Genomic DNA, 25787 nt, shown 5'->3' with positions numbered 1-25787 from the left:
TGCGAAGCAACGCTGAAGGCGCTCTTTTGGAACTCGGGGGGTTGGGGGCGTGCAGCCGCCGCATTGCAGCACACAACGGAAGGCTTCAGACGCTGGAGCTGCCGTCCGCACCCAGATGTCTCTCTCTCCCTTTTCCCCTAACCTCCCCCAACTGCGGGCCCTTTTGGGTGCTGCTCTGACTTCTTCCTTGGCCTTGGGAAAAGCCGAAGCGGCTCTGGAGAGAGGAGGGCATGGTTTGGAGAAGAGGTGCTGCGGCAACAAAGCGACCCGCCCAACGCCTCCTCAACTTTCTCCTGCCCCCGGTCTGGTATTGTTTAGTCCTACTCATTCCCACTTTCCGAGCCAGCCTGCAAAAATCTGTATTTCAGGGGAAATTCCAAGGGATAAAACACCTCCTTCAGCATAACAATTGGTGTTTTGCTCTCTAGATTTCCTAGCAATGAACTTGTCGGGCCTCTCCATCCGCCCGTCTAGGCCCAAGGCCTCGGCCGCCGCGGCTACTCGGAGTGCCCCTCTGCCGCGCACGCGCCCCTCAAGGGCTCTCCCATGACCTTTCCCGGGAACCCCCTTCAATTACGCTTCCCGTCACCTCGCGCCGCCCCCGCCCTTCCTGCTCTTTCCGTTTCCTCTTTCGCGCCTGCGCGGCCCCAATTGTTTTGGCTTTCCGGTGGCATCCGGCAGAGGAAAAGGGCGGGGGCAGCTAGAGTAAGGGAGGGGCGGGGGACGGTCGCGAGGACCCGGGAAACTGCAAAACTGCCGCTGGTGCCGACAGGCGCGCGCGCGCGCGAGGCGGGAGGGCGGCGTGGCGAGGGCGGGCGCGGCAGGCTGGCCAGCGGTCCATTGCGCGCGCGTTCCCGGGCCGCGGGCGGGGGCGAGAGCGCGCGGCGGGGGCGGGGGCGGGGGCGGCGGGGGCGGCGGGCCCGGCGTCTCGCGGCCCCGGACTGACAAGGCGGCGCGGGCGGGCGGGCGGCGCGGCTCCCGGGGGAGGAGTCTGGCGGTGGTCGGGCCCTGAGGAGCGTGCGGCGGCGCCCGCAGAGGACGCTGCTTTCCGCGCTGGACGGACCAAGCGAGGGAGGGTGCGAGGGGAAACCGGAAGGAAGAGGCGGCGGCGCCAGCCTTCCTCGGCCGGAGGCGGAGGCGAGACCCCAGGCGAGGCCGCGGCGGGAGGGCCACGCCCCCGCCGCCGCGCCGGAGGGGCCCAGTGTGGACGGGGCCACCGGCTGGAGCGGATCCCACACCTCCGGACCGAGGGACGCGGGTGAGCAGGCGACAGTAGCGCCGGGCAGGCTGGGAGCCCGCGGCGACCTGTGGAGGGGCCGGGGAGGAGGGCTGTGGCGGGAGGGGGCTCGGCCCTTTGTGGCTCGGCGGGTGGGAGGCGGCGGCCGCGGCATCTTTCAAACCCGAGACGCTTCCGCCGCGGGCGGGGGAGGGGCGCGGGCGGCCGGCGCCGCCCTCCGCACCCCGCGGCGGCCCCAGGGCGGCGGAGCTCCGGGCAGGTCCGCGGGGAAGGGGCGGCCCGGTACGCCGCTAGCTGGGCGTTTCCGGCCCCGGCACCGGGCGCCTCGGCGCCCGCGGGGCTCCCGGGCGGCGCCTTGGCCTCGGCTCGCGCCCGCCCTTACCGAAGTAAAGCTGTTTCCCTTAAAGACTCGCGACGTGTTCGCGACATGGTGGGCCGAAGGAGGACACCCCCTTCCTTCTGTATTCCCCCCGCGTACATCTGAACTAACCAAGAGAGGTCTAGACGAACAGAGCTCCTGTTATGGTCTATATCGACTTAAAAAAGAAAGCAGAAACTGCCCTTTGAAACGGAAAATTGTGTACGTGTTTACTTTGTGAAATCTTTAACTTCCTTGAATTCGACCACCTCCTTCTCCCTACGGATTGAACAACCGGGGAATAGAAAAATCGCTTAGTTTGGTGTGGGGCGGTTATTTTGAGTTAACATCTTTTTTTCCCTTGGGCTTAGCTATCTAAGAACTCTACCTGCCTCAAAAGGTAGAGGAGCGTCCATCCCACGGGCTACCACGGTGACCCCTTCCAGTGAAAATAGGAAAAGAATTCAAAATACAAAATGAACTTTAAAAGGGTGTGTGTGTGAACTATCTTCTGTGTCAATTAGCCTTATGAAGACGTAGGCAACAGGACTGGTCACGTGTTGTTTATACTTGAATCTGTACGTCGGGCTCACAGCATTTAGGCATTGAGAAACGAAACCCTATCAACGCTGTGCACTGACCAAAATGATATTTTCTTTTATCGAGGCAACTAATTAACAGGGATCTTCCCCCTCTTCCCTCTGAGTTGTACATTTTTGCCGAATTTGAGTAGTATGGGTCTTAGATCTCTTGTAATTGTGAATGACTTAGTTTGGTTAACCTTTGATAAGGACTTTTTTCCCCGACTTTTTTTTCTGATCTAAAGTAAATTGAAAAGCCAGTCGGTTGTTTTCTAATCTCGATGATGTGGAATTTTGCTATTCTTTCCATCTGGCTGATAACTAATGTTAAGCTTACTTCTTCACTTTGATCTTCTGTTGGCTTAGTGCTTATTGAAGCCCTTTTAGGTTGGGGCCTGGAATCCTCAAGAGGTTGTTTTCTGTCAGTAACTCGGGAGTGCTGTGGCCTTTCTGTTGAGCATGCTCTGTAGTCCACACGTTTCCACATAGTGGTGTTTTCTTTGCACAGTTTTGTAGGAAGACTTTATGAGTGCTGTAACTCTACTCCCCTTTTTGCTCTCATAAGAAGCATTATAAAATGTTAACTTATGTTATTCACAGGGCATGTAAGGAGATGGGAAGGAATAGAGGTATCAGTACATATGTCCATGCTCCTCCATAGATTTTCTTCTGGTTGGTAGAAATGTTGAGCTTTTCATTCCTAAACATTGAACATTGAATGTGCAAGGTGAATTCCTAGAAACTTGAATGCAGTCTTAAAAGCCAAATGATAACATTGGTTTTTCCAAAAATGTTACACATTTAGAAAAGAGTCCCCCTTCCCCTCTTCTCTTTGCCCACATTCCTAAGACAAGTAAGGCCAGGAAAAAGGATTGATCCTGGTGTCATAAAATATGAGTGAAAATTTCAAAGTCCTTTGTTAGCTTAATCTTTTCAGTTTTGTAGAGTTTGAATAGACCAACTGATACTTAAATAACTCAGTATTAGAAATGACAGGTTGATCTCAAGTAATTTTTTTTTGAGACAGAGTCTCTTGTCACTCAGGCTGGTGTGCAGTGTCACGATCTCGGCTCACTGCAACCTCCGCCTTCAGGGTTCAAGTGATTCTCCTGCTTCAGCCTCCTGAGTAGCTGGGATTACAGGCGCGCCCCACCAGGCCTGGCTAATTTTTGTATTTTTAGTAGAGATGAGGGTTCACCATGTTGGTCAGGCTGGTCTCGAGCTCCTGACCTCGTGATCCCCTCACCTCGGCCTTCCAAAGTGCTGGGATTACAGGCGTGAGCTACCGCAGACGGCCGATCTCAAGTAATTTTTTTTTTTTTTTTAAGAGACGGAGTCTCGCTGTGTCGCCCAGGCTGGAGTGCGGTGGCGCGATCTTGGCTCACTGCAAGCTCCGCCTCCCGGGTTCACGCCATTCTCCTGCCTCAGCTTCCTGAGTAGCCCACGCTGGGCTAATTTTTGTATTTTTAGTAGAGATGGGGTTTCACCGTGTTAGCCAGGATGGTCTCGATCTCCTGACCTGGTGATCTGCCCGCCTCGGCCTCCCAAAGTGCTGGGATTTACTGGTGTGAGCCATTGCGCCTGGCCACTTTTCCCCAGCTTTCTTAAGTCACTGCGCAGAGGTGAGAGGAAAAAGGAAAAGTGATACCCAAAATAAAAGGACATAGTATACTCATATGATTATTGTATCGCAGGTGGCATTGCCTTTATGTTCTTGTTTAATTTTTTAAAACTGAGATAACTTGTTAATCATAATATAGTACAGCTTGTACTTGTGACCTGAATTTACTTAGGGTGCTGAGCGTAATTAACCTGATGGAGCCATGTCATCTATCAGTATGGTTGGAAAGAGAGAACAGACCTAAGCTCTGAATGTGACTAGAGCAGAGGAAGCTATGCTGAAATTTTTTTTTTTTTTTTTTTGGGACGGAGTCTCGCTGTGTCGCCCAGGCTGGAGTGCAGTGATGCGATCTCGGCTCACTGCAAGTATGCTGAAATTTTTAAAACTTGATAGATTCTTCAAAAGGCCAGGTGTTTGTTTTTTTGGTTTTTTTGTTTTTTTTTGGTTTGTTTTTTAATTGATGCCTGTCACAACTCCAGAAAATTCTGTTTGTGTAGCAGTTGACAATCTAAAAAACAAATGGTCTTTTCCAGACATTCTCAACTGTCGTGGTTGTTTTGATAACTTGAAAGCAAACTGTTTCTAGCACCCATCTCTTGTCCTTCCTAAGGAGAAAACTATCTCATTGAAATAAAGAAAGGCTTGTTTTATGACTGGTGCCTTTCTGGACTCTCATTTAGTTTTTTACACTGACATCAGCCTCCTCAAGATTGGTCGTCTTTTAAGCACTAGTTTGTTTCATTATTTGTACCATCAAAATATGTGAGAAAAGGAAAAAAAAAGGAAAAATTATCTTAATATTTTAGAACACTGAATTCAGATTTCAAGTGTCAAATGTTTGCAAAAAAGTCCCAATATTCTCTGAAAACATTGGATTTCTCTTATGTAAAATACCATTTAGACAGAATGAAAAAAGAGAACTGTATTTGGAGTGCTGAGACCTTGAAATTGGAATCTTCGGACCTGGTGAAGGTGTGGAATCCAGGAGTTGGGAAAGTGCTGCAAAAGCTTCACCAGTGGGTGGGTTAATAAAAATAATTTCGAATATCTGTGTAGTGCTGTGTGTCAGGTACTGAACCAAGTATGAAATGTAATCCTAGAACAATTCATTGAGAAGAGAGTTGTACTTTTAACTACATTTTATAGATGAGCAAACTGAGGCATAGAGAATAAATAACTTAAAAAGGGCCACACAGCTATTAAGTTGCAGAACTGGGGCTTTAACCCAAGTAGTTTGGGTTTGTACTCAATTATTTTTCAACGGTTGACCTCCATGGAGAACGCCTTGGATCTTTTCCAACAAAAATTTTTAATCTTCTCTATTGACATTTGTAGCATTGGGAGATGCAGCACTCCCTAAGTTAGTAATGTACAATTTGAATGTGCTTCCTACAGGTGAATGATTTATAGCCGCACTGCCCCTCCTGGAGGGAGACCTATCATTCCTTCATTCCTACTATATAATTTATTTTATTTTTAGTTGGCAAATAATTGTATGTATTTGTGGGCTACAATGTGATGTTTCAATCTATGTACACATTGAGGAATGATTAAATCAGGCTATTTACATCTGTCACCTCATGTACTTATTTTTTTTGTGGTGAGAACATTTAGAATCTTTAGCAGTTTTGAAATACACAGTATATTATTGTTAACTGCGATCATCAACATGCTGTGTAACAGATCAGTAACACTTATTCCTCCTGTCCAATGGAAACTTTGTACCTACTACTGTGCTTATTGTAGCAGGCCTTGCTAGCAGCCTCCTTCCCATCTTTTTATCCTTTCTTCCTTTTTCATCCACAGCTCAGTTAATTGCTGATTGGTTTCTTTATCACATTCAATAGTTCTTTAATCCTTTATTCGTTCCTCAGTCTCTATATTCTGCCTGGTTAACATTGGAAAAGCTTGCTTTGCTTCTATTTGTGTTTCCAGGCTACTCAGTGGGAGGATGCTACAAAGTACACACCTCTAGGAATGAAAACTTGATTTCAAAGTGAAATTAGACATCTATCCCCCCTCATTGCCTCCCCCCAAAAAGCCAAAACACTGCCATCAACCTCTGACATCTTTAAAAGTATTTGGGATTTTTTAAAAATTTCAACATTTCATACTTTTAATCTTGGTTCCTTATCCTTTAATGTTAATAATCAGAATCTGTAAAACAATTTCATGGTCACTTATCTCTTTATGAGTATTAAAGTAGTATTTACTTTGTAAATTTTCTTTGCTGATAGACTTTCAGGCATGTTTTGCTGCTTATAGTGAGAAGTTAAACACCTTTTTAATACTGTTATTTTATAGGAAAGTTAAGTGAGGAATTCAGACAACCAACTTAAATTTGTTGCATAGAAACACAGTTGTCTCTTGGTTTCAGTGGGAGATTAGTTCCTAGGTCCCCTTGGGATATGAAAATCCAAGGACACTCAGGTCTCTGATAAAATGCCGTAGTATTTTCGATAACCTGTGCATATCCTCCCAATACTTTAAGTCATCTCTAGAAATAATATTTTGTGGGAAGAGTTTCAGATTTTTAAGTAGAATTGTATATGTTACTGTCGATTGCTAACTGATTTAATCCTGACAATCATTTAGTAACAATGTTTCAAAACTTTTATGTGTTGGAATTCACTCAGAACCTCGGAGACTTGGGCATCCTAGAGAAAATGTATTAGAAGCATTTGTTTTCAATCAGTTTATAAATTTTTGACTTCTGTAGGTAGTCTTCGGATTTAAAAATAAATAGGACTTTGTCCTGTAATAATTCGTAGAAAGTCAGTGGGTAGAGGCCGGACGTGGTGGCTCATGCCTGTAATCCTAGCACTTTGGGAGGCCGAGGCAGGCAGATCACCTGAGGTCAAGAGTTTGAGACCAACTTGGCCAACGTGGTGAAACCCCATCTCTACTAAAAATGTGAAAAATTAGCCGGACATGGTGGTGCGTGCCTGTAATCCCAGCTATTTAGGAGGCTGAGGCAGGAGAATTGCTTGAACCCGGGTGGTGGAGGTGGCAGTGAGCCTAGATCACACCATTGCACTCCAGCCTGGGCGACAGAGCGAGACTCTGTCTTTAAAAAAAAAAAAAAAAGTGTGTAGACAGTGGAGGAGAGGATTTCATCCTGTGTATAACATTTTAACCTTATCTTTGCCATTCTCTGCGATCAAGCAAATCAGTCAAAAACACTGAATTGAGCGCAGGACTTAAAAGAAGGAGTAAGAATATGTACACTTTTTATGTCAAAGTACATTGCACTTTATTAAGATTGTGAATTTCATTATATTGTGTTTGCATGACTCCAATTTAATTCTTATGCTGGTTAGCATTTTTTACTATGGAATATATTCTAATGATCAGTGTTAGAATATAGGACTTTCTTACTAATCTGGAAGCACCTGATACCAGGAATTGTGGCTTATAACAGGGATTTCCCAAAGTAATTTAAGTGTTTTTGAATAGCTTTTTCTCAGTATGGATTTTTTTTTTGGCAGGTTATCTTGGGGAGAGATGTCTTTTTTTTTTTTTTTAACCTTAATTAAAGGTACTCACACTAGATAAGAACATGTTTCGGAAGTCCACGGAACTAGCAGGAATTGGGGAAAGCAGTTGTGTGACTAGGTAAAAGATGTTAGAATATTTTGGTTGAGAAGAAAAGTGGAATATATATAAATTAGATTAAGAATTATATTTAATTCCGCGTTCAGGAATTTAAAGTTTGTGCTTTTCCTTGTTTTGTGATCTGAAGAGAAACATTATTCTTGCAGAAACAACTTGAGGTACGTATTTTAGTCACTGACTAAATATTTCATCAAGAAGCAGTGTAAGGCCAGGTGCGGCGGTTCACACCTGTAATCCCAGTACTCTGGGAGGCCAAGGCAAGTGGATCGCTTGAACGTAGGAGTTCAAGACCAGCCTGGGCAACATAGTACAATCCTGTCTCTTAAAAAAAAAAATTAAAATTTGTGTGTGTGTATGTGTGTGTATATATATATATATACACATATATGTGTATATATATATATACACACACATACACACATATATATATAAAAGAAATATAAATTTTTAAAAATAAAGCAGCGTTTGGTAAATGTGGCCTGTAACCTGTTCTTGTAAACAAAGTTTTATTGAAATAACATTTGTTTCCATATTGTCTTTGGCTGCTTTCAGGCTGCAGCAAGAGTTAAATCTTTGGGATAGAGACCTTATGGCTCCCAAAGCCTAAAATATTTTGTCTTTGTTATGAGAAGAGAGAATAGTGTACCTTTTGAAGTTTTATTATTATTACTATTTTTATTTTTATTTTTTTGAGACTGAGTCTCTCTCTTGTTGCCCAGGCTGGAGTGCAGTGGTGCGATCTCGGCTCACTGCAACCTCCTCCTCCTGGGTTCAAGCCATTCTCCTGCCTCAGCCTCCCGAGTAGCAGGGATTACAGGCACGCACCATCACACCAGGCTAATTTTTGTATTTTTAGTAGAGACGGGGTTTCACCATGTTGGCCAGGATGGTCTCAATCTCCTGAACTCAGGTGATCTGTCCACCTCAGCCTCCCAAAGTGCTGGGATTACAGGTATGAGCCACTGTGCCCAGCCTTTTTTTTTTTTTTTTTAAATTAAAAATTTTAGAGGCAGAATCTTGCTGTTGCCCAGGCTGGAGTGCAGTGGCATGATCATAGCTCACTGCAGCCTTGAACTCTTGGCCTCAAGGTACCCTCTCGCCTTGGCCTCCCAAAGTGCTGGGAGTACAGGCATGAGCCAGCACAGCTGGCCAAAAGTTTATTTTGTAAAAATCAGGTAATCATTGCATATATTAAGAAAATCCAGAAGGTTTAAATAGGTCTTCAATAAGTTTTTCCTTCCTCCTGTGTGATCCACTGTTAGTAGTAGGGCTGAGCACCAGATACCTTTGCTCATTTTACCTGTACTACAATTTTTCTTACGGTAAAGAGTAAAATTTCTTGAACTCATGTCTCTATTAAAAGTTTGAAAGAAAAAGATTAAGATAGCTACATTTCAAGAAAAATGTTTCATATACCCAGCTTGCTTCACTCATTTGCTTGCTTCTTGGCTTTTAAGTTTGTCTAGAATAGCTGGTTTTTAAAACACCATGTTTTTGAATGACAGCTGTAGCTGTGGCTGTAATCTGTAGTAAGAGTAAAAGCCCTTGGTGTTTTGGAGCTTTAGTGTTTGGCTTCTCTGAATCCGAGTATGTAAAGTGCAATGATTGGCACTTAGTATTCAATAAACATTTGTGGAATTTAGCCATTCATTCAGAAAAGAAAATTAAGTCAACAGTTTCCTTGATACCTGAGAATTAATCTGGGGAAGCTGGCTTCTACAGATAACAGGGTCTGTGACGTTTTGAAGCTGATTTTAGATATAGAATGATATACAAAATGTAATTATTGAAAAGGGAAAATTTGTAAAATACGTCACATCAGTTGGTAATTAATATAGTACATACTGAATTGCTTCAGAGGATTTAGAGTACTGGTTTCAAGTTTTAGGAGGGAAGGAGCCTTTTACAGAAAATGTTTGTGTTGTGGGCATTTGAAGATGGTTGGTTGATCGTCCTAAACTTTGCAAATTTTCACATTTTTATTTTTATTTTCGTGAGACAGAGTCTTGCTGTGTTGCCCAGGCTGGAATGCAGTGGTGTGATCTCAGTTCACTGCAACCTCCTCCTCCTGGGTTCAAGTGAGTTTCAGCTTGAAGCAGCCTCAGCCTCCAGAGTAGCTAGTATTACAGGCATGAGCCACCATACCCGACTAATTTTTGTATTTTTAGTAGAGACAGGGTTTTGCCATGTTGGTCAGGCTGGTCTTGAACTCCAGGCCTCAGGCCTCAAGTGATCTGCCCTCCTAGGCCTCCCAAAGTGCTGGGATTACAGGCGTGAGTTACCACACCTGGCCAAGCTTTCACATTTTTAGTTAATACCTTTTGAAGTCCATGCTCCCAGAGGGGTGAGATACTTAATTTTATTTATTATTTTTTGTTTTTGTTTTGTTTTGTTTTTGAGACGGAGTCTTGCTCTGTGACTTGGGCTGGAGTGCAGTGGCACGATCTCGGCTCACTGCAACCTCCGTCTGCCAGGTTCAGGTGATTCCCTGGCCTCAGCTTCCTGGGTAGCTGGGATTACAGCACGTGCTACCATGTCCAGCTAATTTTTTTGTGTTTTTAGTAGAGATGGGGTTTCGCCATGTTGGCCAGGCTGGTCTTGAACTCCTGACCTCAAGTGATCCACCGACCTCAGCCTCCCAAAGTGCTGGGATTCCAGGCATGAGCCACCACTCCTGACTTTAATTTTATTTTTAATTGTACTTGTTTATTTACTTAGTGTCATATCTGAATGACTTACTTTTTCTGCCTATTTTAAGGTAACTTTTACGTAGGCTGCCTCTCCAGGAAGAAAATGTATCCTGGATTACAAAAGAAGAGTGGGAAATAGGGGAATCTAATAAAGCTGTGTTAATGAGTATGACTTTGTACTTTTTTAGAAGCAGACTTCAATTGTTTTAATACGGTTTCATGGATACGATAAAAAATCAAATCTGGCAAAACCCAGTCGTAAATGAGGCCTCCCCAAAATCATTGCAGAAAATCATATTATTATATGGTTAATGAAATGACCAGAGTGAGCCTGTACCGCTAGCCTGCAAGAAATTCTGGGGTCTAGCGGCATGATTTAAGTCTGTCTTGGCCCTGGCCACCAGTTGCTGTCACCTTGTTTAAACATGGATGGGGACAATTTTGAGTCCAGCTACTGGGATTAGGACTTCTACTTTATTAATGCATATATTTCTGTAAAATATATTTCTAGAAGTAGGATTAGTAGATTGGTATTAAGCATTTCCAGTGCCAAGTATTATTAATACTTGCAATTTTGAAATTCAAAAAGCTCTGAAAAATCAAGTTGTTAAAAAAAAAAAATCTTTGCTAGTAAAACCTGACCTGAAGTAACGTGAGGCTATATATAGTCTTTATTTTTGACACCATTCATAGTTGCCTCAGCAAAGATAATATGTTTGATTATCCATTGCTACCTGAGACTTCTTGAGAGGATTTCATAATGTAGGGTACATGTGTCACAATACCTCTATAAAATCTGGAAAAGTGTAAATTCTGGAGCGTGTCTTGTGTCAAGAGTTTTGAATAAGGGATTGTGGGTATGTATCAACTTACTCCTCTGTGTAAGAATGCTTGTTTTTCCACACCCTCAACAACACTATGCCTTGCTGCATTATTAATGTGTGGAAATAGCCAGTGATTTTAAGTATTATTTGCCTTAGAGATTATAGTAGTAGAACTCAGATTTATAGTGTGACATGCTGTTCTGGAAGAGCAAAGTTATTACCTTAAATGACCCAGAGTCTCACTCTGCCTTTGCACCTGTTTTAGTTACTTTCAAAGTTAACTTGGCTGGAAACTTGACTGTATATCAAGTTAGCAGTTACTGTAATAGTATAGTTTGTCAGGAAGTGTATGTCATTCTCTTTGACATAATGGATGGTATTTTGTGAGGAAAAATAACAGTGATTCTAATGATGGAGTCATTTCTCATTATGGTAACTAATGGTCATCTTAACAGTTGGTGAAAAAAGAGGTGGCAGTTTTTATAGTTAACATATTAGTAGCATTCTATTTGGGATTTTCCTCTTTTCCTGATTTGTAATTCCTTTGCCATGTGTTGTGAATACTGAGTTCCAAATTAAATTTTTATTCAGCTGGAATTTTGGTTTTTTTTTTTGATGAATGGTATGCAGTATGACTAAAGCCTAGGTTTTTTTGCCCCCTTGAGCAGTTAGCCACTTCCAACATTATTTGTTGAAATAAACCATTCTTCCTAACTTGAGATACCATATTTATCTTTATCATATCTAATTTCTTTTTTTTTTTTTTTGAGACGGTGTCTTGCTCTGTCACCCAGGCTGGAGTGCAGTGGTGCGATCTTGGCTCACTGCAATCTCCACCTCCCGGGTTCAAGCAATTCCCCTGCCTCAGCCTCCTGAGTAGCTGGGATTACAGGCACACACTACCACGGCCAGCTAACTTTTGTATTTTTAATAGAGACAGGATTTCACCATGTTGGTCAGGATGGTCTCGAACTCCTGACGTTGTGATCCGCCTGCCTCGGCCTACCAAAGTGCTGGGATTACAGGCATGAGCCACTGTGCCCGGCCAGTCATCTCTGGTTTCTTATGTGTACTTGGTTTTATGGCAGTTTTATAGTACATTTAATATTTTCATAAAAATCATTAAAAACTTGCCCTTCTTCCCCTCAAATATCTTAGCAACCTTTGTGCATTCTTCCAGATAAATCCCTTGAAAATAGGATTTAGATTGGATTTGTATTAAAGTTACATATTAATTCGGAGAACATTCATATTTGTGTAATATGGAGTTTTCTGGGTAGGAACATATACCCATTACATTTTATGTTTTTTTTTTTTAAGTAAAATATACTTTTATTTGTAAAGATTCCTAGGAAAGAACCACTCCACAAAGAAACAAATTACATATAGTTCTCCTAGTGAATTGAATGGCAAATTTGAAAATTAACAGTTTGAATCTATTTACCGTATAGTTTAAATTAAATATGAAGACTTTGTGAACGTGTTTAAAATATATTCGGAGAACGAGAAATCTCTGTGTAGGAGAGCAGGTTTTTTGTTTTTTTAAAAAAATATTTTTTCTTAAATATTATGATCATTTGTTGCTACCAGACAAATAACTAAGAGATCTGGCTTTGGTAATTTAAGTTGTCTATTTTGAAAGAGCTTTAAAAATGTGTACTTATTCATGTGTTCGTTATTTTCTGTGACAGTTATATTTTGTATAGAAGGCAAAAGTTAACTTGAAATTACAACTGGTAATTTTCTTGTTTTTTAATTTTAAATGTAGACTAAGAATCTTCATTTTTGTCATGTTTCACTTTTATGGTAATGTCTAAAGTTGAACTTGAAATAAATATGATTTCTATTTAAGGCTGCCATTTTAAACGTTATATTCTAAAACCGTACTGGCCTAGATACTACAACTGAACTTTTTTTCTTTTTAGTTACTCCACAGGATCCGCTGAACATAGGATGTTGCCACAAAATCTACCTCGTGTATTTTTCTCTTTCACTCATGAGCTGCACAATTGCAGATTTGAGCACAATGTCTGCAGACTGTGTTGAAAAACTCTGAAGAACCTAATTAACACAGGATGACCTAGGAGTGATTCTAAGTCTGTGTAACAAGATATTACTCATTAGTGAATGTGTCAGTCTTGGTACTGAATGCTGCAGATAACAGCAAGTAGGTTCTCCTTTATTTCTGAAGTATTCACTTGACCTTCCATCAGTAAGACGGACTTTTCTAATCTGTTCCTGGAGATATTAATGGAATACAGTCATGTCCACTCAAGACGAGAGGCAGATCAATACTGAATATGCTGTGTCATTGTTGGAACAGTTGAAACTGTTTTATGAACAGCAGTTGTTTACTGACATAGTGTTAATTGTTGAGGGCACTGAATTCCCTTGTCATAAGATGGTTCTTGCAACATGTAGCTCTTATTTCAGGTAAGTACTTTTAATGTTTTAAATAGAAATTCTTTGAAATGTTATTTAATTTTTTAAAAAGCCACATCTCAATTTTTGTTTTTAAGTTTTGCTTAAGGTTTCTATTCAGATGATGTAGTACTTGGCAAATCTCATTCTTGCATGTGTAAGAGACACATGAAAGAAGTTTTATAAAGGTTGAAATACAAGAAATGTGTTGCAATTAACTAAGGTAAAGTTTTAATGTTGGGAAGGCAGAAAGGTTTAGAATATTCTTTTTCCATTAAAAGAGAAAGAAAAATGGGATAATTTACACTTTGAGATTTTAAAATGCTGCCTTTAGAAAACAGTGATCTCTGTTTTTAAACTGACAAGTTATAGGCTCAAATAGTAATTTTTAGAGGGTAAAAATTGGTGCTGTTAGATAGGTTAAGACTTTTCTTTACAAAATATATTTTTTCTCACTCTTTACTATTACCATTTGTGATATTTCTTTATACTAACTAGACTCTTTGCCAGATTTAAATATTTAATAACTAGTAACGTTGGTGTTCTCTATGCCTCTGAATGCAGAAGTTAATTTAGTTACTCTTTGCTAATAACAAATACATAAAGCTTAACTTTACATTTTTATGATCTTTTGCGTCTTTGTTGTACGTTTCCTGAGCAGAATAGAAGCCAAGGCATAGATGGATTGCTTTATTTGTTCTTTGCTTTTAGGTAATTTTGACTTAATATTTGAAAGGGACAGGGAGAATAAAGGTGAATTAAATGTGGACCTGTATATTTCTACTACAAATATTAACAGACATAAGCAGCAATCATTAGTGAGTTTGATGTTGCTGTTTTGTTTTGTTTTTGTTTTTTTTTTTTGAGACGATCTCACTCTGTTGTCCAGGCTGGAGTGCAGTGCAGTGGCGCGATCTCGGCTCACTGCAACCTCTGCCTCTTGGGTTCAAGTGATTCTGCTGCCTCAGCCTCCCAAGTAGCTGGGATTACAGGCACGCACCACCACGCCTGGGCTAATTTTTGTAATTTTAGTAGAGATGGGGTTTCACCATGTTGGTCAGGCTGGTCTCAAACTCTTGACCTTGTGATCCGTCTGCCTTGGCCTCCCGAAGTGCTGGGATTACAGGCGTGAGCCACTGCGCACCGCCTGTTCTGCTGTTCTTTAATGGCAGCTATAGACAGGATAGATTTCATTTGACCTTTCAGGGCTGACTGACTTTGTATGAAGATACCGAAACTTCACATTCCCTAACACATCCCATGATGATTGCAGAAGCTAAGGCTCAAACACCAGTTGTTGCCTTTGCTATGCCTACAATTTTTTTTTTTTTTTTTTAAAGACAGTCGCAATCTGTCACCCAGGCTGGAGTGCAGTGGTGCTATCTCGACTCACTGCAACCTCTGCCTCCCAGGTTCAAGTGGTTCTTGTGCCTCAGCCTCACAAGTAGCTGGGATTACAGGCACACACCACCATGCCCGGCTAATTTTTTTTGTATTTTTAGTAGAGACGGGGTTTCACCATGTTGCCCACGCTGGTCTCAAACTCCTGATCTCAAGTGATCCACCCGCCTCGGCCTCCCAAAGTGCTGGAATTACAGGTGTGAGCCACTGTACCCAGCCAAGTCTGGGAAGTTTGTTAACCAATCAGTCCCCCACAGATACCAAGGGACAACTGTGTATTATACCTAAAACAAATCAGATATTTATTAAATAAATAAAAATAGTTCAATATGTGTTTGGGGTTGAAGCCATCCATCATTAAAATCTTGTGCCTGGGACAGTTTCATATCCACAGGATATAATTTGAGCTTTTCACAAGTGTTCTTCAACTAGATTCTGCTGGCAGAATTGTAGATTTCGAGATCTTTACATCTAATGCTCCTATACATCTACTGTAGAGATTTTGCCTTCTGAACTAAATACATTCTTCCTTTGTAGTTTGAGTTACCAGTTCTGTCTATCCCACCAATAATTAGTAGGTACCTCTGAATAATAGTTTTAATATTTCTTGGTAACATTTATAGTTCATTTTAGACCCAAAATGAGAGAATTGCTTGAGAATTACTCAGCACTTCTGTTGTGGTACTTCAGCCTGTTACAATATTATGAAATTAAGTATTTGCTGTTTCTGGTCGGGAGTGCTGGCACATGCCTGTAATCCCAGCACTTTGGGAGGCAGAGGCGGGCGGATCACGAGGTCAGGAGATTGAAACCATCCTGGCTAACACGGTGAAACCCCATCTCTACTAAAAATACAAAAAATCAGCCGGCGTAGTGGCGGGCGCCTGTAATCCCAGCTACTCGGGATGCTGAAGTAGGAGAATCGCTTGAACCTGGGAGTTGGGTGTTGCAGTGAACTGAGATACCACCACTGCACTCCAGCCTGGGCAACAGGGTGAGACTCTGTCTCAAAAAAAGAAAAAGAAAAGCACCAGATCCTATTGGCTCTTTATAGTGGGTTTTGTTTGTCTGTTTGTTTGTTCCTTTTTGAGGTGGAGTTTCACTTTTGTTGCCCGGGTTGGAGTGCAGTGGCTCGATCTTGGCTCACTGCAACCTCTGCCTCCCGGGTTCAAGTGATTTTCCTGCCTCAGCCTCCTGAGTAGTTGGGATTACAGGCACCTGCCACCACGCCCAGCAAATTTTTGTATTTTTTAGTGGAGACAGGGTTTCACCATGTTGGCCAGGCTAGTGTCGAGCTCCTGGCCTAAGATGATCTGCCCACCTCGGCCTCCCAAAATGCTGGGATTACAAGTGTGAGCCACCAAGCGCCCAGCTATAGTGGTTTTTGTATTCATTTCTGCCAATATAACTTAGTTTCTTACCTCTTAGGTATATTATTGTCATAGCCTGATAGCCAGTTTTCCTGTCTCTAGCCTTTAGCTCTTATAGTCTGTCAGCTTAGAGTATTCATCCTACATTTATCACTTACATTTTGTCATGCTAAATTCAGACTTGAAACCCTTTGGTTTTCCCCACTATCTACAAGGAAAAGCTCAGACTCTCTTGTCTCATTTAAAGGCCCTCTGTGATCTGACTGCTCTCCATCTTTCCAATTCATTTTCTGGTTTCCTGCATGAGCCCTTATGTTCAAGCTATGCCCCTTGAACAATTGCTTCTTATGTTCTACCCTGTTTTATCCATTTTGAATGGCTTCTTCATCTCTGTCCTTGAGGGGCCCAAGTTAGTGCCCAAGTTAGTGACTGTTGTGACACTCACTGTTGACCGCTACATGCAGAAGCTTTTCTCTCCTATTTTCCTCTCTTACCTATATATGGGCATTCTACTTAGTATTCTCCATGATGCCAGTTGCCTTTCCATCATGATTTCCTGTATATAATAGATTTTTAGGAAAGTGTCCTGCATATTTTTAGAGAATTGTTTGAGTAAATGAATTTTTAACAGCTTTATTGAGATGTAATTTACATACCACAAAATCTACCCATTTTAAGTATATAATTAAATGAATTTTAGTATATTTACAGTTACACAACCATTTCCACAATCTAAATTTAGAGCACTTTTATCACTTTGTGTCTATTTATAGTCACAGACCCCATTCTTACAGTTCTAAGGAACTACTAATCTACCTTCTGTCTCTATATTTTCCTTTTTTAGACGTTTTATATAAACGGACTCATATACTATGTGGTTTTTTGTGTGTGGCTTCTTTCACTGAGCATAATGTTTTCAGGTTCATTTATGTTAAAGTATATATTAATACTTAGTTCCTTTTTATTGCTGAGTATTATTTCATGGTATGAATATAAGAAGTGAATAGAATTTTGAGATTTTCACTCAAAATGGCATGGTGGAATAGTCTGGTATATATTTGGGACTGGATTTTATTCTTATCTGTCTCCCTCAAAAATTTCATTGGCTAGGCACAGTGGCTCATGCCTGTAATCCGAGCACTTTCAGAGGCTGAGGCAGGAAAGATTGCTTGAGCTCAGGAGTTGGAGACCAGCCTGGGCAACATAGGGAGGCCTTGTCTCTACTAAAAATAAAAGAAAAAATAGCTGGGTGTGGTGGTGCATGCCTGTAGTCCCAGCTACTTGGGAGACTGAGGAGAATCGTTTGAGCACAGAAGGTCAAGGCTGTGGTGAGCCATGATGGTACCACTGCACTCCAGCCTGGGGGACAGAGCAAGACCCTGTCTCAAAAAAAGAAAAAGTTTCTCTTATAAGTAAATACCCTAAATAAACACCTCTTATTGTCTAATTGTTCTTTTCAGCTCTACATTTGTTTTACACAAAACCCTTACAACTTTGTTTTCTTCATCTCCCCTGTAGGGCCATGTTTATGAGTGGACTAAGTGAAAGCAAACAAACCCATGTACACCTGAGGAATGTCGATGCTGCCACCTTACAGATAATAATAACTTATGCATACACGGGTAACTTGGCAATGAATGACAGCACTGTAGAACAGCTTTATGAAACAGCTTGCTTCCTACAGGTAAGCATATATATATTTTTTTAGACGGAGTCTCTCTCTGTTGCCCAGGCTGGAGTGCAGTGGCACGATCTCCGCTCACTGCAACCTCCGCCTCCCAGGTTCAAGTGATTCTCCTGCCTCAGCCTCCTGAGTAGCTGGGATTACAGGTGCTAATTTTTGTATTTTTAGTACGGGGTTTCACCATGTTGGTCAGGCTGGTCTTGATCTCCTGACCTCGTGATCCACCTGCCTTGGCCTCCCAAAGTGCTGGGATTACACGCGTGAGCCACTGTGTCCAGCCTACAGGTAAGCATTTTTTTACTCAGTTACATACATGAGTTGTAGCTTATTGGTTTATTATGTGGTTTATTTTGTGAGGAAACATTGTTAAACATTTTTTATTTATGTTTTTGAGATGGGGTCTCGTTCGGTCACCCAGGCTGGAGTGCATTGGTGCAGTCATGGTTCACTGAAGCCTTGAACTCATGGGCTCAGGTGATCCTCCTGCTTCAGCCTCCTGAGTAGCTGGGATGACTAAAGGTGTGCACCACCATGCCCAGCTACTATTTTTATTTATTTATTTATTTATTTATTTTTATTTATTTATTTTTTTGAGACGGAGTATCATTCTGTCACCCAGGCTGGAGTCTAGTGGCGCGATCTCAGCTCAGATGCAAGCTCCGCCTCTGGGTTCATGCCATTCTCCTGCCTCAGCCTCCCGAGTAGCTGGGACTACAGGTGCCTACCACCACCCCCGGCTAATTTTTTGTATTTTTAGTAGAGATGGGGTTTCACCGTTGTTAGCCAGAATGGTCTCGATCTCCTGACCTCGTGATCCACCCACCTTGGCCTCCCAAAGTGCTGGGATTACAGGCATGAGCCACCACTCCCTGGGCCAATATTTTTATTTTTTGTAGAGACACGATCTCACTGTGTTGCCCAGGCTGGTCTCAAAATCCCAGGCTCAAGCAATCCTCCTGCATTGGCTTCTCAAAGCCCTGGGATTACAGGTATGAACCACCATGCCTGGCCCAGTAATGTCTTTTATCTATGTAATTTTCTTATTACGTGTTTTAGAAGGTAAAAGGTTTTTTTCTTTTTACAAAATGTGTAAGGGAAAAACAATAGGATTTGATTACCCAGTAAACTAAGTAGTTTTGTGATGGGAATGTAAATCTGTTAATAAAAGAGATAGGTGAAAATTTTATACTGGTTTCGTGTGTTTTACTACCTAATATACCTGAGAATTTTGATTTCAAGTTAAAGTAATTTTTTTTTGAGACGGAATTTCACTCTTGTTGCCCAGGCTGGAGTGCACTGGCACAATCTTGGCTCACAACAACCTCTGCCTCCTGGGTTCAAGTGATTCTCCTGCCTCAGCCTCCTGAATAGCTGGGATTACAGGCATGTACCACCATGCCCAGCTAATTTTTGTATTTTTAGTTGAGGTGGGGTTTCACCACATTGGCCAGGCCGGTCTGGAACTCCTGCCATCAAATGATCCACCCGCCTTGGCCTCCCAAAGTGCTGGGATTACAGGCATGAGCCACCACTCCCAGCCAAATTAAAGTAATTTTTAACAGTGTTTATTGAATTTAAGTGTTTCAATTTTTTTTTTTTTTTTTTTTGCTTAGAGCTTAGATATACTAATTTTTCATGGTACTATTTTTCACAGAAAACTTGGTGGAAATTATGATAAATATTTATAATGGCTATGTGACCATATTGAGCAATTAAGGAGAAGTATTTAAACAAAACAAGTGATGGTTGATATATTTATGTATGACAAACTGTTTTACTCTTTATTTCCCCATCATGTTCCCTTTTTAAATTTTAAGAGGAATATAAGAGTTTTTTTCTTCATTTCATCTCCTGTTTTGGAATAACACTGTATTTCACTAAGTTTCTTCAGAGGGAGAACCTTTAGATCAAAGGTTAAATTTGGAGAGCACTGTTCGTGATATTTGTTAAGTACTTAATAAATATGCACTGAATGAGTATGCATGACACTGGTTGAATGCCAACACCTGGGTATAATTCTGGAAACCAGAACTCAGTTCATGCTTTATGTAGTCTCCTTCCTTTTTAATCTTCCATAGGTTGAGTACCCTTTATCCAAAATGATTGGGACCAGAAATCCAGTTCAGCCAGTTTCAGATTTTTTCAGATTTTAGGATATTTGCATTATATGTTAGATTTACATCATCCCTAATCTAAAAATCTAGACTCTGAAGTGCTCCCGTGAGTATTTCAAGTGTCATGTCAGCACTCAAAACATTTCAGTTTTTGGAGCATTTTGGATTTTGAATTTTTGAATTAGGGATACTCAACTTTTTGTGTGACAGGGTCTTGCTCTGTTGTCCAGGCTGCAGCACAGTGGTGAGATCACAGCTCACTGCAGCCTCGATCTGGGCTCAAGTCATCCCCCAGCCTTAGCCTCCTGAGTAGCTGGGTCTGTAGACATGCATCACCACACTTGGCTAATTATTTGATTTTTTTGTAGAGACAAGATCTTATGTTGCCCAGGCTAGTCTCAAACTCTTGAGCTCAGGCACTCCTCTCACCTAGGCCTCCCAAAGTGCTAGGATTACAGGTGCGAGTTACAACACCTGGCCAACCTTTACTCCTTATTACACTAACTTTATCGTTAGTGTTCTACTCTACCCACAACTCTGGGGAAACTGAGGCTGGGGTAGCTTGCTGGTGCACTAGTAATTCCAAACTTGAACGGGAGAAATGCTTATTGGAAGCACTGTCTTTATATAGTTTGCAAGTTGTCATTACTTTTTATTTTTAGAGACATGTCTTGTTCTGTTGCCCAGGCTGGAATGCAGTGGCATGCCACCATGCAGTGGCATGGTGATAGCTCACTGCAGTCTCAAATTGCTGGGCTCAAGTAATCCTCCTCCCTGTAATCCCAAAGTGCTGGGATTATAGGCATGCACCAGCACATCCAGCTAATTTTTTGTTGGTCCTTCTTTTAAAAGCAGGCATTTCTCAGAATTACTAAGGCATTAAGGAATTTTAAGAAAATCTGATTCCAGAATACTTTGTTACTGTAAATATTGACACTGCTCCTTAACATTTTTTTTCTGCCATTTTAACGAAAACCGTATACTACTTCTGCTTGCTCAAATGCAAAACAGGACTCTGCCTCTTAGACTGTGTTGCCCTGGAAGCCTGAGATGGGGCATTCTATGACTACCAATATTACTTTCACTATCAACCACATGAAGTGATCATATGTTTCAGTACCAGATGGTGTACTGATACTTTATATATATTCTCATCTGATCCTTACAGGGCTCATTTGAGGGAGATAACTATTATTTCCCCATTTTATATAAGAGAAAATTGAAGTTTAGAGATGTGAAGCTTCTTTCCTAATAAGTAGTTTCCAGGTACTAATTGGCCAATTAAGTTTTAAATCCAAGCAACCTGACTTGTCAGTGTAAACAGTTTCTAGTTAATCACTGTGATGCTGAATAAGTATAGTGGGTAGCACATCTGATTCAACTGAGATCTACCTTCTTAAGAAAAAACAAATCTAGGAAGCTTACAGTGGCTAAGATGGGTCATTTAAATGTAGGTGATTTATAACTGCACGTAAGTCTATTTCGTGTTGCTTTGTTATCTTACCTCTCGATAAGAATGGCAAATAACTACTCTTACTCATTGTGCATGATTTTCTGGTTTTATGTGACTGTGTTCAAATTGAGGAAACCAGAATCCAGTTATTCAACAACAATAATTTTCTCTATACTATGATTTATTTACATTTTTTCATATAGTTCTCTCAATTATATATAAAGTCTAGGAAAGTATGACTTATGTGTGAATTTCCTTACCTATTCTTTAAGGCTGTTTTGTTTTTTAAGAGCCTATTTATTGTTGTACTGCTGGTTCCTAAATAGAACAGTTAAGTAGGCCACTGAGCAGGAAAAAATACTGCAAAATTTTATAGTCTTCTGAGTTTATTACTACCAGAAGACCTTATCTCAGCCCAGATGTGTGTATCTGAAAATAAAAATTACACTATGGGCATCTGATTAATATACTTACGTCTTACATAAAAGTAAAATGTGTCTGTCCTGGCCCTATCAGCCTGTTTTTTTTTTCCTTCTCATTCTAGGTAGAAGATGTGTTACAACGTTGTCGAGAATATTTAATTAAAAAAATAAATGCAGAGAATTGTGTACGATTGTTGAGTTTTGCTGATCTCTTCAGTTGTGAGGAATTAAAACAGAGTGCTAAAAGAATGGTGGAGCACAAGTTCACTGCTGTGTATCATCAGGACGCGTTCATGCAGCTGTCACATGACCTACTGATAGATATTCTCAGTAGTGACAATTTAAATGTAGAAAAGGAAGAAACCGTTCGAGAAGCTGCTATGCTGTGGCTAGAGTATAACACAGAATCACGATCCCAGTATTTGTCTTCTGTTCTTAGCCAAATCAGAATTGATGCACTTTCAGAAGTAACACAGAGAGCTTGGTTTCAAGGTCTGCCACCCAATGATAAGTCAGTGGTGGTTCAAGGTCTGTATAAGTCCATGCCCAAGTTTTTCAAACCAAGACTTGGGATGACTAAAGAGGAAATGATGATTTTCATTGAAGCATCTTCAGAAAATCCTTGTAGTCTTTACTCTTCTGTCTGTTACAGCCCCCAAGCAGAAAAAGTTTACAAGTTATGTAGCCCACCAGCTGATTTGCATAAGGTTGGGACCGTTGTAACTCCTGATAATGATATCTACATAGCAGGGGGTCAAGTTCCTCTGAAAAACACAAAAACAAATCACAGTAAAACAAGCAAACTTCAGACTGCCTTCAGAACTGTGAATTGCTTTTATTGGTTTGATGCACAGCAAAATACCTGGTTTCCAAAGACCCCAATGCTTTTTGTCCGCATAAAGCCATCTTTGGTTTGCTGTGAAGGCTATATCTATGCAATTGGAGGAGATAGCGTAGGTGGAGAACTTAATCGGAGGACCGTAGAAAGATACGACACTGAGAAAGATGAGTGGACGATGGTAAGCCCTTTACCTTGTGCTTGGCAATGGAGTGCAGCAGTTGTGGTTCATGACTGCATTTATGTGATGACACTGAACCTCATGTACTGTTATTTTCCAAGGTCTGACTCATGGGTAGAAATGGCCATGAGACAGACTAGTAGGTCCTTTGCTTCAGCTGCAGCTTTTGGTGATAAAATTTTCTATATTGGAGGGTTGCATATTGCTACCAATTCCGGCATAAGACTCCCCTCTGGCACTGTAGATGGGTCTTCAGTAACTGTGGAAATTTATGATGTGAATAAAAATGAGTGGAAAATGGCAGCCAACATCCCTGCTAAGAGGTACTCTGACCCCTGTGTTAGAGCTGTTGTGATCTCAAATTCTCTATGTGTGTTTATGCGAGAAACCCACTTAAATGAGCGAGCTAAATACGTCACCTACCAATATGACCTGGAACTTGACCGGTGGTCTCTGCGGCAGCATATATCTGAACGTGTACTGTGGGACTTGGGGAGAGATTTTCGATGCACTGTGGGGAAACTCTATCCATCCTGCCTTGAAGAGTCTCCATGGAAACCACCAACTTATCTTTTTTCAACGGATGGGACAGAAGAGTTTGAACTGGATGGAGAAATGGTTGCACTACCACCTGTATAGTGGGGAAGTTCAGGGAGTGCACGCCTGAGTTATGTGCTTTGTCATTTTCTTTGCTAAACAAAAGAGGCTATGAAAGAACTAAATATGAGTACATAAAATTCTATCTTTGATAAATTTTATTTTTATGCCCTACTTAATATTTGCATCAGTATAATATATATCAGTGAGTCTTACAGAAAGATATGCTTCCATAATATGAAATAGATTATTCAATAATTGAGAAACTTTATGTGTAATCATGAGAGTATAAGAATCTGGATTATCTAACATTGTTAGCCCTGTGTATGTACAGTTCAAAAAGTTCATTTATAAAAGTAGTTTCCTGTTCCTAGTGTGATGTATCACAAATTGTGCTGAGGTTATTTTAGTATGTGTGTTTCATTCCCGTGCTTCTGTTCTGAAGTCCTGGAATACAGTTTTCAGTGTAATTAATTCAACTGCACTTAACACTAATGTCCGTGTTGGTATAGAAATGTCTAAATCCTATACTCTAGTTGAGGAAGATCTTCCATAATTTTATGGTATTACACAGGGAAAGCTATGACTGCAGGATCAGTCTAACTATACTATTAGGTGCATGTATTCTCTTTTCACTAACTTATACTTGTCTATCTAGAATACAGGTCTTCCAGTCAGCTGGTCATTTACCAGGTGTGGACTTAAGTTGCTAGGCTTGCAGTAAGAATTGCCAGCCACTCATTGTGCGGGTCTGCGTGGAGCTTTAATCAGAAAAAGCCTCCACTTTCTGTATTATGTTAACATTGGCTCATGCATATAACTATCTGCTGCTGATGTAGTTCTCCATCTTCAAGATTTAGAGTGGGTTAACCAGGTCATTACATCTTAATTTAATAACAAGCATTACTGTAGAGTGATTGTGTATAGATCTGTTAGCTGTCAGGGTGTGTTTTTTTTAACCTGTTGTGTGCGTGTGGGGGTTAGGATTAGTAAGGTGAACTGTTCAGGAATTCTCTGCACTAGCTGTGCAGAAGAGCAGATAACTAGCGCTGCTCTGGCATTAATCCCAGGAACCACTAGCAGTAGTGGGGCGCCGCCAATCTAACATGAGCACAGGTGCTTCATGACAAACATTACTAGCATGTTCAACTGCACCATGTTCTGGCACTGTATTTTGAATGACATTAATTTATTAAATAAATTGTATATATTCAATATCTATTTTTCTTTTGTTATGGGAATGGTCTGCTTTTTAAATTTTGATTTTGCTAGGTCAAACTTAGCTAGTAATAGGTGGTTTCTTCCAAATTTTGTTTGATGAAGATTGAGAGATATGCATAGGCTTTCCTTAGGCTAGTGTCTTTCTACCCTGCTGGCATGTTAGAATCATCTGATTCTGATCATCATCTTTAGAAGCTTGAGATGATGCCTGAACCTCACCCCAAACAAAATGGTTTCTTTTTAGAGCACATCATTGATCATGTTTATAGACTTGAACTGCCCCTCCACTGCCTACTGAATGAAGTCCAGATTCCTTACCACATTTAAGGCTCTCTCTAATTTGGCTTTAAATTACCTTTACAGCCCTACCTTGCATTGTTTTTCCATAAGCCTTATCTTCTGATTAGGCTTTCGCTATGCTTTATGCTTTTTTATGCTATTCATGCTACTCAGAATGGTTTCTTCATCCCAACTTTACTTGCAGCTGTCTCAAGAGCTATTTAAGGCAGTTTTTAAAGAATGTTTCCTGATAACCATGTCTTACCATGAGGTGAAAAGTATCCTTTCTCACATTTTTACTACCTTGTACCTAGATCTTATTAATTGTACTGATCATTCTATTGACTATTACTAGTTTTGGCCAGGTGGGGTGGCTTATGCCTGTAATCCCAGCACTTTGGGAGGCCTAAGTGGGAGGAATGTTTGAGCCCAGGAATTTGAGACCAGCCTGGGCAACATAGGGAGACCCTGTCTCTACCAAAAAAATAAATAAATAAAATTAGCTAGTCATGGTGGTGTGTAGTCCCAGCTACTAGGGAGGCTGCAGTGGGAGAATCACTTAACCCTGGAAGGTCAAGGCTGGAGTGAGCCTTGACTGTGCCACTGCACTCCATCCTGGGTGACAAGACTGAGACCCCATCTCTAAAAGATAAGATAAATGAATATTATTAGTCTTCATGCTTTTCTACAAAATGATCAGTGTTGATTGTCTTATTTACGGCTGCATCCCCCTGCAGTGTAGCACAGCACACTGTATAGTTGGTGATAAAACTGTTGGATTAAAGCAGATAAATACGAAGAGCTTTGGAAAGTTTGAGAGTCAAACCCAATATGCCAGTTTTTTAATTCTCATTAGTAGTTCCATTAGTAACCTTTTCAC

The 25787-nt window shown here is 41.1% G+C and overlaps 1 protein-coding gene across 7 annotated transcripts, besides 5 other annotated features; it reads left to right on the top strand.

Annotated features, from left to right (window-relative positions):
- Window positions 250-953: an enhancer, noted in NCBI's record as "NANOG-H3K27ac-H3K4me1 hESC enhancer chr7:32931453-32932156 (GRCh37/hg19 assembly coordinates)". NCBI's record gives its function as "activates a minimal SCP1, AML or CMV promoter by ChIP-STARR-seq in naive H9 embryonic stem cells {active_cell/tissue: H9 hESC(naive)}" and the evidence as "EXISTENCE:reporter gene assay evidence [ECO:0000049][PMID:30033119]".
- Window positions 250-1674: a biological region, named in NCBI's record as "NANOG-H3K27ac-H3K4me1 hESC enhancer GRCh37_chr7:32931453-32932156".
- Window positions 485-544: an enhancer, noted in NCBI's record as "active region_25831". NCBI's record gives its function as "activates an Ori minimal core promoter by ATAC-STARR-seq in GM12878 lymphoblastoid cells {active_cell/tissue: GM12878}" and the evidence as "EXISTENCE:reporter gene assay evidence [ECO:0000049][PMID:35858748]".
- Window positions 628-24622, top strand: KBTBD2 (kelch repeat and BTB domain containing 2). Of its 7 annotated transcripts, none has more exons than XM_047420125.1 (5): window positions 635-705; window positions 4699-4817; window positions 12852-13359; window positions 17637-17802; window positions 21914-24622. In XM_047420125.1, the coding sequence occupies exons 3-5, from the start codon at window positions 13190-13192 to the stop codon at window positions 23447-23449; spliced, it is 1872 nt and encodes a 623-aa protein (XP_047276081.1). In that variant the 5' UTR covers window positions 635-705; window positions 4699-4817; window positions 12852-13189; the 3' UTR covers window positions 23450-24622. The 7 variants fall into 7 exon arrangements, with proteins under 7 accessions (XP_011513558.1, XP_047276081.1, XP_047276080.1 ...); XM_047420124.1 differs by lacking the exon at window positions 635-705 and adding an exon at window positions 1034-1258; XM_047420127.1 differs by lacking the exon at window positions 635-705 and adding an exon at window positions 1627-1817.
- Window positions 725-1674: a silencer, noted in NCBI's record as "silent region_18081". NCBI's record gives its function as "represses an Ori minimal core promoter by ATAC-STARR-seq in GM12878 lymphoblastoid cells {active_cell/tissue: GM12878}" and the evidence as "EXISTENCE:reporter gene assay evidence [ECO:0000049][PMID:35858748]".
- Window positions 3509-4034: an enhancer, noted in NCBI's record as "H3K4me1 hESC enhancer chr7:32928372-32928897 (GRCh37/hg19 assembly coordinates)". NCBI's record gives its function as "activates a minimal SCP1, AML or CMV promoter by ChIP-STARR-seq in naive H9 embryonic stem cells {active_cell/tissue: H9 hESC(naive)}" and the evidence as "EXISTENCE:reporter gene assay evidence [ECO:0000049][PMID:30033119]".
- Window positions 24623-25787: the final 1165 nt, after the last annotated feature.

This window comes from Homo sapiens, chromosome 7, assembly GCF_000001405.40.
Source record: "Homo sapiens chromosome 7, GRCh38.p14 Primary Assembly".
In the NCBI taxonomy this organism is placed as follows: domain Eukaryota; kingdom Metazoa; phylum Chordata; class Mammalia; order Primates; family Hominidae; genus Homo; species Homo sapiens.
Note: the sequence above shows the minus strand (reverse complement) of the source record. Positions and strands in the feature narration are given on the sequence as shown.

What these genes read in the sequence shown, in the direction of transcription:
- KBTBD2 (XM_011515256.3), top strand. Translation starts at nt 13,190, where the DNA reads ATGTCCACTCAAGACGAGAGGCAGATCAATACTGAATATGCTGTGTCA. An exon ending in ACATGTAGCTCTTATTTCAG is followed by an intron (nt 13,360 to 17,636) that starts GTAAGTACTTTT and finishes TCTCCCCTGTAG; the next exon opens with GGCCATGTTTATGAGTGGAC. An exon ending in AAACAGCTTGCTTCCTACAG is followed by an intron (nt 17,803 to 21,913) that starts GTAAGCATATAT and finishes TTCTCATTCTAG; the next exon opens with GTAGAAGATGTGTTACAACG.